General features: G+C 42.9%; 1 annotated feature.

Moving 5' to 3' along the window:
- Positions 607–901: a silencer, noted in NCBI's record as "tiled region #9281; K562 Repressive non-DNase unmatched - State 22:ReprW". NCBI's record gives its function as "represses a minimal TATA promoter and a strong SV40 promoter by Sharpr-MPRA in K562 cells {active_cell/tissue: K562}" and the evidence as "EXISTENCE:reporter gene assay evidence [ECO:0000049][PMID:27701403]".

Consider the following 12,705-nt stretch of genomic DNA (forward strand, 5'->3'; position numbering starts at 1 on the left):
AATAACTTTGAAACAAACTTCCAATTTACTTTCCTTTGAAGAGAAATGTCAGGCACAACATTAAGTGAAAGCTCAACTTTTATGCCAAAGACCAAAACTACTGGATAACTTGTTGAATTTTACAATTCTTATTGTCTTTGTCTTCTAACTCAAAAAGGCATCCCTTATTCAGCGAAGGAAATGCCTCTGTGATTCAGGACAAGGCAAAGGGTGCTGAGGGTTTTGGGGTCTCCCCTTCTCTATCCCCCCTTCCTCCTGACCCTTTTCCCTAAAATAAGTAATAATAATAATAAATACTAAATGCTTACCATGTACCAGGCAGATGCTTTTACAGTTATGTAATTCTCACAACAACCCTAAGAGGTAGGAGCTATGACTATTTCTTTCATTTTGCAGAATAAATTAATTTTGCACTCTAGTTCAGAGAGCAGAGGGAGTTTGTCCCACCCAGCCGGTAAGCAGTAGAGTCAGCTTCCACTCTGGGTCCATCCATCTGTCTGCCTAACCTCTATGGAACACAGTCTTCTGATCAAAATATACTCTGTGTTACCTTGAGAATATTCTAGAAGTTCACCACCGTTTTGACTTTTTTACCACTTAAACAAAAAGGACTCATAGCTCCAATACAAATTAATGCCAGATCTGTGGGTTCAAATGAAGGCACGTAATTAGCATCTGTGTGGAAGGCTTTGCTCAAGGGGCTGTGGGCGGGCGGGAGGCTGGCACCGAACTGAAAACTGAGCCTGGGCGTCAACATGGGCGGGCCACTATTTGCACATTTGTTTTCCTTCTGCCTCGGATCGGTTGTCTGTATATTAGGGTTGGCTGAATAGTACAGATGTCAAAGGGTTGAGATGCTACATTGAGGGGCCTGCTATAAATCCCCAAACAGATCTACCTGCCTCCTAAAACTCGCCTCTTCCCAAGGCATGATTTATATACACTGCCCTGTCTTTTACGGTTTCCTGAGTTGGTTGTTTCAGACTAAAATTTGTGTGTTATAAGACTCAGCATGCATGATTTCTTAGGTTTTTAATTAGAAAATGTAGTTTTGACTTAATAAATTATGTGTGAGGTAAATTTACCATAATACAGCCTTACTAATCCCCTACAATTAAGAATTTACAGTTCTTTTGCTGAACTTTTTATTGAATTTCCCATGAGGACACTTGCACAACTGATTGTGAAGAAAGTTTTTAGCCCGTAACTAGCAAGCCGACATGGTAGAAGTGAGAATACGATTTAGAAAATCACTTCCCATGTGGAACCAGACTTCCCATTTTTGCAGTGTCTCACTGAGGCCTTATGACAGCTCTGTGAGACGGGCATGTTATTTCTATTTTATAGATGAGGAAACTGAGGTGCAAACCTTGATGTAAGCCGACTAAGGTCACGTAGCTACTGAGGGACAGAGCCAAGGTTTGAACCAGGCCATCCAGATCTTTTGATAATAAACACATACAGCACTTACCATGCTCCTAGCGCTGCCCTATGAAAATATATATTTATTACTCTCTATTTAGCTCATTTATTCTCACAGCAATGCTAGGAGGGGCTGAGGGGGTTGCTATTTATTATTCCCCTTTTATAGATGAGCAAACTGAGGTATAGGAAGATGACACAGCTTACTCACTGTTCCACAGTTGGTAAGGGGCAGAAGCGAGGCGTGTGCCCAGCGGGATGCAGAGTCCCTGCTCATAGCCCCACCTGACACTGTCTCATCCTCTCCATGTTTCCATCTCCCCGCCCCATCCCGTGCCCCACCGTGAGAACTTCAGCCACAGAAGATTTGCACCCCTTCTCTTCTCTAAACCCACCCTGTACTTTCCCACCATGGGCCCTTGGCTACCTCTGTTCTCTTGGGCTGTGTAGGTCTCTTGGGTTCTGAAGGCAGATAGACTTGGGTTTGGCTCTTGCCCAGGCTGGTCCTCAGCTATCCCCATTTGCAAAGTGGGGCAAATTCCCTCTTCACAGTGCTATGTTGGTTTTCTGGTGTGATACACATCAAAAGCTGGTTACGTATTAAGTACTCAGAGAGTGGCAAGGTGTATTAGTCTGTTCTCATGCTGCTAAAAAGACATACCCGAGAATGGGTAATTTATAAAGGAAAGAGTTTTAATGGACTCATAGTTCCACATGACTGGGGAGGCCTCACAATCTTGGTGGAAGATGAAGGAAGAGCAAAGGGATGTCTTACATGGCAGCAGGCAAGACAGAGCATGTGCAGGGGAACTCCTGTTTATAAAACCATCAGATCTTGGCTGAGACGGTGGCTGTAATCCCAGCACTTTCGGAGACTGAGGTGGGTGGATTGCTTGAGGTCAGGAGTTTGAGAACAGCCTGGCCAACATGGCAAAACCCTGCCTCTACTAAAAACACAAAAATTATCTGGGCATGGTGGTGGATGCCTGTAGTCCCAGCTACTTGGGAGTCTGAGGCACAAGAATCACTAGAACTCAGGAAGTGGAGGTTGCAGTGAGCCAAGATCATGCCACTGCACTCCACTCTGGGCGACAGAGTGAGACTCTATCTCAAAAAAATAAAATAAAATAAAATAATCAGATCTTGTAAGACTTATTCACTATCATGAGAACAGCATGGGAAAGACCTGCCCCCATGATTCAATTACCTCCCACTGGGTCCATCCCATGACATGTGGGAGTTATGGGAGCTATAATTCAAGATGAGATTTGGATGGGGACACAGCCAAACCATATCACAAGGCTTCTGCATTTTTTATTTTGAAAGCCCAGTTCAGGTCCCTTCCTCTGCAAATTCCTTCTGTGGACAGTATAATCAGCCAACCTCTGAGCCCCCACAGTCCTCTGTGTATATCTCTATTTAGCACTAATCACCGCTTGCTTTGTATCATGGTTACTTCTGTGTGTGTCTGTCTCTCCCACTAGACTCTAAGGTTTTTAGGGTCAGAGACCATGTCTTATTCATGTCCACATCTCCAGATGCAAGACCAGGACCTTACGCATTCAAGCTCTTAAAAATTTTTTGGTGAATTGAATTGAAAAACAGTGTGTTGGAATTGTGGGCTCCATTAATTATGTGCTACACGCTCCAAGTAGATCTCTCAGGAAGTCTGGGGGTCACTCCCACTCTGGCATTTAGAAACAGAGCCAGGCCACCTCCTATGTCATCTGTTCCTATTCTCTATTTCCTACTGCTCAAGCCACCAACAGCCTTCCTGACTGAAGCTTTCTTTTCTCGGTGTGTTTCAATTGCTGCAACGTGACCTGAGAAGTCCCTGGGGTGGGTCATGTGAGTTTCGTGAGTGATTGGAGTAGCCTTCTGCTATGATCTGAGTGTTTGGGTCTCCCCAAAATTCATACATTGAAACATAATTCTCAATGTGATGGTATTAGGAGTTGGGGCTTTGGGGGATGATTGGGTCATGAGGACAGAGCCTTGTGAATGGGATCAGTGCCCTTATAAAAGAGGCTCTAGAGAACTCCCCTGATGCTTCTACCACACGAGGACACATCTAGAGCCAGGCCCTCACCAGACACTGAATCTGTAGGTGCATTGATCTTGGACTTCCCAGTCTCCAGAACAGTGAGAAATAAATTCCTGTTGTTTATAAGACACTAATGTATGGTATTTTGTTACAGCAACTCAATGAGACTAAGACACCCTCTGTCATTGATTGGATTGGTGGCAGATGTAGCAGACTTGCTCCTCTCCCAAGTCTCCTTCAAATGACCTTTCCTGAGGCCAAAAATTCTGACCTGCAATTTTGAATTAAAAGCATTGTTTTCCAAAGTGTTCTAAACAAATGGGGGCATGGGATACGCTATCAAAGGCTCTATACCTGATGCTTACACCCGTGGCATAACTTGTTGGCAGCTTCATAGCAGAGAACAAGGCCCAGAAGGATGGGGACCTGGAGCTAGCATCCTCTGACCTGGGGTCTAGGTGTTGGGGGTGAGTGAAGAGAGGATTGTGTCAGCAAAGATGGCCGGGACATGGATAAGGCGGATGAAGCTGAGACTCCTAGGCAGGGCATAGGGAATGGAAGACAGAGAAGATGGGTGGTGAGGAAGAACGTCCCTGGGAGCCCTCTGCTTCCTTATTGTGCCGAGAGTAAACTTGGCTGAGGCCCCTCCTGGATTTCCAGCTGGTGGCTGAAGGTCACCCTGCAAAAGAAGGCACTTAATTCCCAAGTTGCTCCATTAAGGAGCAAAGAGGGAGAGAGGCAGTATACTCTGGCCATTAAAAGCTCTGACTCTGGGGCCTCACAGACTCAGGTTTTCATTCTGGATCTGCTAGGAACTAGCTCGGTGACTTAGGACAGTTACTTAACTCCTCTGTTCCTCACTTTCCTCATCTATAAAATGGGGACATACATAATGCCTCAGGAGGTTCCAAGGAGGATTAAACTTGGCTGAGATCTTCCATGGTAAGCACTCAATAAAAGGCAGCTAGTCTTACTAAAGGAGGCAGCTCCTGCTACTCTCACCATCTGTGCCTGTGTTCCACTGCAGACAGGACCAGACCAGCCAGAGAGGCAGTGATGGCAGCAGGCAAGCTAAAACTCGGGCCTACAGAATTCTCCAATGTTAGTCCCAGAAGGATTGGATTCAAAGTGTTATCTGATTCAGGCTTCCCTTTCAAGAGCAGAAAATAGGCCTAAAAAGGTCATATAGCTAACAGGAGGAAATAGGCCTAGGCAGATCATGTGGCTTGACATAGCCATATAGAGATGGCCACATAGCTGAGGAAGTCACAGGCAAGGCACTGGGAGCAGCAGGCTTTGTGGGCCATTTCCAAACCCATAGTAATCATCATCCTCAGAATAAAAGCCTCAAAATTCTATGCCCCATAGAAGGAGGTGGCTTTCAGATGGCAGATTGCTTGCAGGTTGGCTCTTTTAGGTGAGGATAATTCCTAGGCACTTACTCAGTGAACCTGGTCCATTTTTCTTCTTTCCAATCCTCTTCTCCTTATGGGGATGTTTTCATTGTTTTCTTTTCAGGCTGGGCTTAGCCCTGGCCTCTCCAGGCTTGTGGGTTTTCCCTTCCCCCGTCCTCCTCTGCCCTCCCTGGTTTCTACCAGGAATAGGCAGTGATTGAAATTATTGATTCAATCAGTTCATCCTCCTGCCGAGATGCATCTTGGCTGGATCACTAATTCCGGGGCCAAGCCTTAGCACAGTCCACTGGCTTCCCCTGCTCAGCGCCAGGGGCAATTGGAGCTGCAGAACCTCCTGGGGTATCATCAATGAAGCCTGGAGGATTTGACTGGTAATGGGCTCCTGGTTCTGAATCTGGCGCTGCAACTGAATCCGGGGAAACAGAGACACGTCCAGCTTCTCTGAAAGCCCACCAGCTTGGTCCATTGCAAACGAGGCTGACTTTCAAGTTCCTAGTTACAGTTCCCACTCACTGTTACAAGAAATCTCTCTGAGGATATTCTTTCCTATAGCATGGAATAATTTGGAATCACAAGAATGAAGACATTGCTGTTTCTCAAGTGATAATAAAAGCATCATCGTGGGGGCAATTTTGGCGGCCAAGTGACTGGACTTACTATAAATGCCTTCCTATTTTACTAGGTCTCTTCAGTTTCCTTGCCCGCCCTCATTTATTTTACAGGGATTCTGTGTAGCTGAAGTAATGTGCATGAATATTGCGTAACATTTTGTGGACGGATACAATATTGTAGAAATAATTTAATTGACGACCTGTAATGAAAAGAGCGCTGGGTAAGTAGCCTGGGTTGCAGTTTCTCTCTATATTTTTACATCACCAGGGATAGTGCTGTTGACATGAATAGGCCAGTATTGATTTCATTTAAAATTTTCAACATCTGAATGATGTGAGCAGTGATCTGTGGGAAGATACTGTGGAGTTGTCGGCATAGCCCCTGCTAACAAAATACCATTTAAAAAGGATTTTTCTATTAGCATTCACAAAGAGAAGAGAGAATAAAAAGGGTTATGAGAATGTTAAAATTTTCACTGACCAAAGAAATATGAAGTCACCATCTTCATTTTACTCTTAATTAATTCAGTTATTGGACCTTATATAAGCCTCTGTTAAATTCCTAAAAGAAAGCAGGCTGGGGCCTTGAGGTGGTTATATAGAATACTTTGTTTTCTAAAGGGAGTGACTTCAATCACCCCATGAGAAAGTCCCTGAAGGCAATCAGACTCCCCCAAGAAATGGATTTCAAATGCGGCAGCAACTCCTTAATGCTGCCCTGCTAATGAGTTCCAATTCAGTGGTTATGAGTTACCATCATTGAACAACAGTAGCACGAATTAGATTTTCAAACTTTCAGAGATGCAGTTTCTCAGGACCCCTGAGTCTACCAGTCAGATCATAGAAGGTTGAGAGGAGATAGATGCTGGGCAGGTGGCCCAAGGAGTGATTTTTAAAAGGCAATCCTGTGGTAAACTGGGGACACTGATTGGGTTCCATTTCTGGGTAGTGGGGGTTTGAGGTTCTCAGTTTGCCCAAGAGATAGGTTTGTTGTGAAATTATGGACCAAGGCAGAGGTTGCAGTGACCTGAGATTGCGCCACAGCACTCCAGCCTGGCGACAGAGCAAGACTCCATCTCAAAAAAAAAAAAAAGTATGGACCAAGTGGAAGTCGGCAGCTCCTGTCTTCATCCTTTTGTTGGCCTGGAGGTCAAGGAGAGGTAGAGGGACAATGCTGGCTGTGAAGTGCCTGGAGTGGCAAAAAGCCACCTCTTGAGCTTCTTCAGCCTTCCTGTCTTTCTAATGATGAGCTTCAGCTCAGGTATGGCAAAGACATTTGAAGAGAAAACTCAGGGAAGGAGCTTTCCAGAATCACTGGTAATGAGTCTGATAGAAGAGCTATCTGAATGCAGTGCTGCCCCGGCTGTGGATTCTTCCAGAAAGCTGGCCTCAGTTGGGCTGCTTTGGGCTATAGGACTCCGCTGCCTGCCTTGCCAAGCAGAGTGGGTATCTTCAACCTTGGATGAGGAGGCCCATGAAGGAGACCTGGACCAGTGTACACCGGGAGATGAAAGGGGCCTTGCTGGATGTTGTCCTGAGGGGAATGTACTAACCCTGGCTTCAGTTGTGGCAGCAACACAGAGGGAAGGGGCATGGGAGGGATAAAGATGAAAAGGAAGGCGAAGCATGAATACTAGTCTTCACCCGAAGAACAACTGGAAATCATGAAAATGTCTTAAACCAACAGAGACACGTCATTCTAAATGTGTCTGATAAAAGCAGTGCGAATATTTTTATTGACATTCTAAGAACATAACCTAGATTGATATACATAAATAATATATAGAAAAACTATGTATCATTTTTGTAGAACTCAATAAAGCTATTTTCATTTTGAATAGAAAAAAACAATTTGAAAACTTAAAAAAAAAACCACCACATTGGTTAGCCAGGCGCAGTGGCTCACACGTGTAATTCCAGCACTTTGGGATGCTGAGGTGGGTGGATTACCTGACGTCAGGAGTTCAAGACCACTTTGACCAACATGGTGAAACCCCATCTCTACTAAAATACAAAAATTAGCTGGACATGGTGGCAGGCACCTGTAATCTCAGCTACTTGGGAGGCTGAGGCAGGAGAATCGCTGGAACCCAGGAGGTGGAGGTTGCAGTGAGCTGAGATTGCGCCATTGCACTCCAGCCTGGGCAACAACTCCAAACTCCATCTCAACACTCCATCTCAAAAGAAACAAACAAACAAACAAAAAAAACAAGCAAACAAAAAAAACAAGCAAACAAAAAATGGCATTGGCTTCACATCACTGAAAAAGACTTCCAGAGAGGCTGCTCTAATCCTGACAGGTGCTGGCCAGGCATGTGCCTGGGGTACTTCTGTCAGACTGTTGTCTGTCCTAGTTTTGATTGTCCTCCCATCTGAGTCACAGAATGGGCAACAAAGCAAAAACTCCACCATAAATGCCTCCTCCGGAAGTTTTCCTCCAAAATTGCACGGCAAGCTCACACTCTGGAATGAAGCCACCCCATCGAATCGTGGCTAACCACCTGTGCTCAAGAGTCTCCTCCCACAACCTGCCACTGAGCCTGATGGTCCCACAGTCAGAGCCACACTGGCTCTGGAAGGTCCCCTGAGAGAGCCAGTAGGTCACGATTTAATGCTGGGGTAACCGTGGGATGATATTGTATGATATTATGTTCAGGGACCCAGGAATCCTGAAATCCTTTCTGATGAGGCACTGTCACTCTGAGGGAGGGAAAATGAGGGGGAACAAGAAATGAATGGACATTATACTTAATTATTAGCCAGAGTTTTGGCCTTCAATCCCAATGCAGAGAAATCTGGAAGGCTGGGCTGGACCGCATGGAAGGTGGACTCCCTCTGATGTGTCTCTCTCTCTCTGGGTAGCCTTAGATGGCAGCAGGCTTGAATGTTTGCTCTCTTTTCTTTCTCCGCACCCACGCACCAGTTTTGGAGTTTACCGTTAGGATGCTAGAAAAGGCTGATCCACTGTACAGCAGACAAGAACAAGGAACCAGAGAGACAGAGCAACTTTGCTCGCAGTGCCTAGCAGGGATCTGGCTCACCTTTTCCTGTGGGAAGCCCAGTGGGAAGTAGGGAGGGCATTTAAGGAGAGGAAAAAGTTGAGGAAAAGGGAAAGGGTAGCTGCCTCACATGGACACCACACCTTGCCACAGCAACGAAGAGAGCAAGATTTTACCAAAATGACTGAATTTTTAGCTGCTTGAAACCAGAAGAATGAGATCCTGTATCCTATATCTGACTAACCAACCTGATACCCCTGTCTTTGAATCCACATGTTGTCCCATAGTCCAGTTTCCACATTAGGCACCAACAGTTTATCAATGTGTCCTAAGGGTGGGACACTATAGTTAAGGTGATTTGGGGTGTTCCATGGACACAGTTATTAAAATATATTGCTTTGTTTAATAAGAAAGTTATTCCATTTAAAGCACTTTCAATCCTTCATATTAATTCTAGGAGACTATCTCAGTTGGTGCTATGTATCTTTAACACTTTTAAAATAATTTAGTTCTTTTTCTTAACAGAGGATAGGCCTCATCCTCAGAGCTCTCAAGCAGCTGCAATATGTAGCAATAATTTAAAAACATGTTTTTATTTTTATTTTTAAATAAATTTCATTAATTTAAGTGAAACAGGTAAGATAATTGTCCTCCTAGTTAATAATAATAGCCAAAAGCTATGTATACTTACCAGGGACCAGGAACTATGTGTTTAATGTATATTAACCCCTTTAGTCCCCAACACAACCCTATAAGATAGGTCTATTATTACTCCTATTTTACAGATGCAGAAGCTGTCAGTAATTTTTAACATCTCCGTTTTTGAAAAATATTTTTTAAAAGTTTCCATATTATAAATATGATGCATATTTTATTAGAGAAAAGCACTAAATATAGTTAATGAAAAAGAAGGATCATCATTAACACCTTGGTCTATAAGCTTTCTAAGCTTTTTTATATATACAGTTTGAATATCCCTTATCTGAAACGCTTGGAACAAAAAGTGTTTCAGATTTCCAATTTTTTTGGATTTTGGAATATTTTCATTATATATACCTATTAGTTCAGCATCCCAAATTTGAAAATCCAAAGTCCAAAATACTCTCATGGGCATTTCCTTTGAGCATCATGCTGGCACTCAAAAAGTTTTGGATTTTGGAGCATTTCAGATTTCGGATTTTCAAATTTAAAATGCTCAACATACACATATATACACATATGTGCAAATATTTTATTTTCAAAAATGAAAATGAGATCATATCAAATATATGGGGTTATTTTTGGTTTTGTTTGTTTTAAGGAGACAGCGTCTCATTCTGTTGCTCAGGCTGGAGTGCAGTGGCTCAATCTCAGCTCAGTGCAGCCTCAACCTCCTAAGCTCAAGCGATCCTCTTGCCTCAGGCTCTCGAGTAGCTGAGACTACAGGTGCTCATCACCACACCTGGCTAATTTTTTTAATTTTCTGTAAAGACAAGGTCTCACTCTGTTGCTCAGGCTGGTCTTAAACTCCTGGATTCAAGCGATTCTCCCGCCTCGGCCTCCCAAAGTGCTGGGATGACATGCGTCCACCACCATGCTCAGCCAAACATAGGATTTTGAAACTTCCTATTTCACTTAAATCTACTCTACTTTCCCTTACCTTAGTCCCTGTCTCTTTCTAAGAGGCAAGCTTGCTTGTTTCTGATTGGGAAACACTGAGGTTTCAATGGCAGACTCTAGCTTCCCTTTTTCTGAAGATTGTAAATGAAGGGTCTTATGACAGCTGTCAAGAGCCATTAGTGTAACAAGATATCACTCCAAAGTCAGGGGGAAAATCCTTTTGTCTATATGGAGTTTGATCCCTTCGTATATTTGGGGCCTCATCAAAGGGGAGTTTTGAGATAGTCTTGCTTTCCACATAAAACTCAGAAAATTGCTTGATTTAAAATGCAACTTCTGTCTCCTCTTTTCATTTGTCATTTCTAAAACATTTTTAAAAAGTGTTAAAACTAATGGAGTAACAAACTGCCATGCAGTAATAATATTTTAGGTAGATGAAAATGCATCTTGATAGAGAAACAAAGACGTAGTTACCATCAATGGAAATGGAAGAAAGGGGTAGATGTTGCTTCTGGTCTCAATCAATCTGATCTTATCTAATTTAACCAATTAAGCAATTTTGAATTTTGTAATTGTTCTAATGGGGAACCAGTGGAGACATTATGTTATTCTAAGCATGTTTTGTTATGATAACACGGGCCTTTAAAGATTTTTTATGTCTTTTATTTTGAACGTTTTTCACATATTTGAAGTCTTGCCTGGTGGCCAAACCCTAGTGTTCTGTGGCTCTGTGGAAACGGGATCACCTCCTGCTCCTGGTATCCCACTCCCTCTGGTTTTAATTAATACCATACAATAAAATTCCTACTCTCCAGCCAAACCACCATCGGCTGTAATCTTGTCAGTTCTTATAAGCCGAAGAGAAACACACGCATTTTCTTGTTATTGTTTAATCGTCTGCATCAGCTATTTAATTTCCAGAGGAACCTCATCTTGCTGTTTTGTGTTCCCCTTCCTCCTTTCTGTTTATTTATTTGCTTTTTAAGTTTTTTTCCAAAGAAAACCATAGGTAACAAGTTTTGTGAATCTAATCCTGAAGGTTTTAATGGCAGATGCCTCAGTTCCTGGCTATCTGCTCTTTCTAAATTACAGCACAAGAAAGATGAAGAATTTAAAAAGCTAACCTAGCATAACAGAGAGGGGCTTTAATTTTAACTAGAGCAAGAGTTGAGAACCAGCACATTCTCAAGCATTCTCAGTCATATGTAGCAGGTTGCATTGCTTCAAAGTATTAAGGTTGGGCTGGGCCCAGTGGCTCACACCTGTAATTCCAGCACTTTGGTAGGCTGAGGTGGGAGGATCACTTGAAGCCAGGAGTTGGAGACCAACCTGGGCAACGTAGCAGGACCCTGTCACTAACAAAATTTTTAAAAAATTAGCCAGGCATGGTAGTGTGCCCCTGTAGCTCCAACTACTTGGGAGGCTGAGGCAGAAGGATTGCTTGAGCCCGGGAATTCTTATCAGGATTGTATTATAATGCTGTTGTTGTTCTTGAAGTGTGCAAAAAATTGCAAGTCACGGACTACTAAGTTTGGCAAAAGCCTCTGTTTAAAGGCTGAAGCAAGCATACTTACATACAAGTACCTCTACTCATGGACCGTATCTGTACCTACCTGCCCCACTCCCTTTTTTTTTTAATGGCTCAGAACACCCTTGTACTTGTCAAAGTGATACTCAGACATGTATACAAACCTTCCCTATCACCATAACCATAACCATCACCTAAGTCCTGTTCATTTCACTGACACCACCAGCAGCATCCTCCAAATACAAAGCTTATGTGCTCTCTATGTTATTGATATTGCAATTGTGTGTCATTTCTTAGTGCCCTGCAAACATTTTTGGTACTTTAGTGCTTGGATTTGGTTTCTTTCTGTCTATCTTTCTTTTCATCTTACTAAATACAAATTCTATGTACTGTGATAAAGGAATGGAAAGAAACCATGTACTTTTCTCCAGTGTACTTCTCTGGAGCTATTAGAAACAAACTTGCTGTTGAAAATCTTTAACTAAATTCCCTGGCTTTCTGTGAAAGGAATTTCACCTCTAACGCAGCATTAATGGGGTTTTGCATTGAACTGCCTTTTGGGGTTTGATTCGCCTTTTAGAGACGCTGGTGTTTGACTGCATGTTCAAACACAGCGTGTATTCTTATGAGCGATGTGAGATTCAAATAAACACAACGAGTGTGTTCATTTTGATGACCTCCCCATCACACATTCAAATAAACACAAATGTTCTCAAATGTATAAAAGCAGCTGTGTTTATGTCAGCGTGCAAAGCACCAGATATATACATTCAGATTCACTCATCTATCTGGAACCATGTACCTCCGCTCATCGTTAAAATTTAGTGGAAAATCATGCATGGGGCATGTGTAATGTGCAATTTTCAACCATACACACATCTCTAAACAAATTTTCTTCAAGCATGTTACTGACATTTGTTCTAATTGGGGATGAAGCCTGGAGAAACTTTGAAGTTTTTGAAAACAAAACGAAGCATAATGCAAGTTGCTACCAGAGGGCATAGCATGTCTAAAGTATTCTAGCAGCACCAGTAAGAGTCACCTTCCCTGATATTCAGAACAATCTTCTTTGCCTTTCTCTTCTCTT

Source organism: Homo sapiens, chromosome 1 (assembly GCF_000001405.40).
Source record: "Homo sapiens chromosome 1, GRCh38.p14 Primary Assembly".
Classification (NCBI taxonomy): domain Eukaryota; kingdom Metazoa; phylum Chordata; class Mammalia; order Primates; family Hominidae; genus Homo; species Homo sapiens.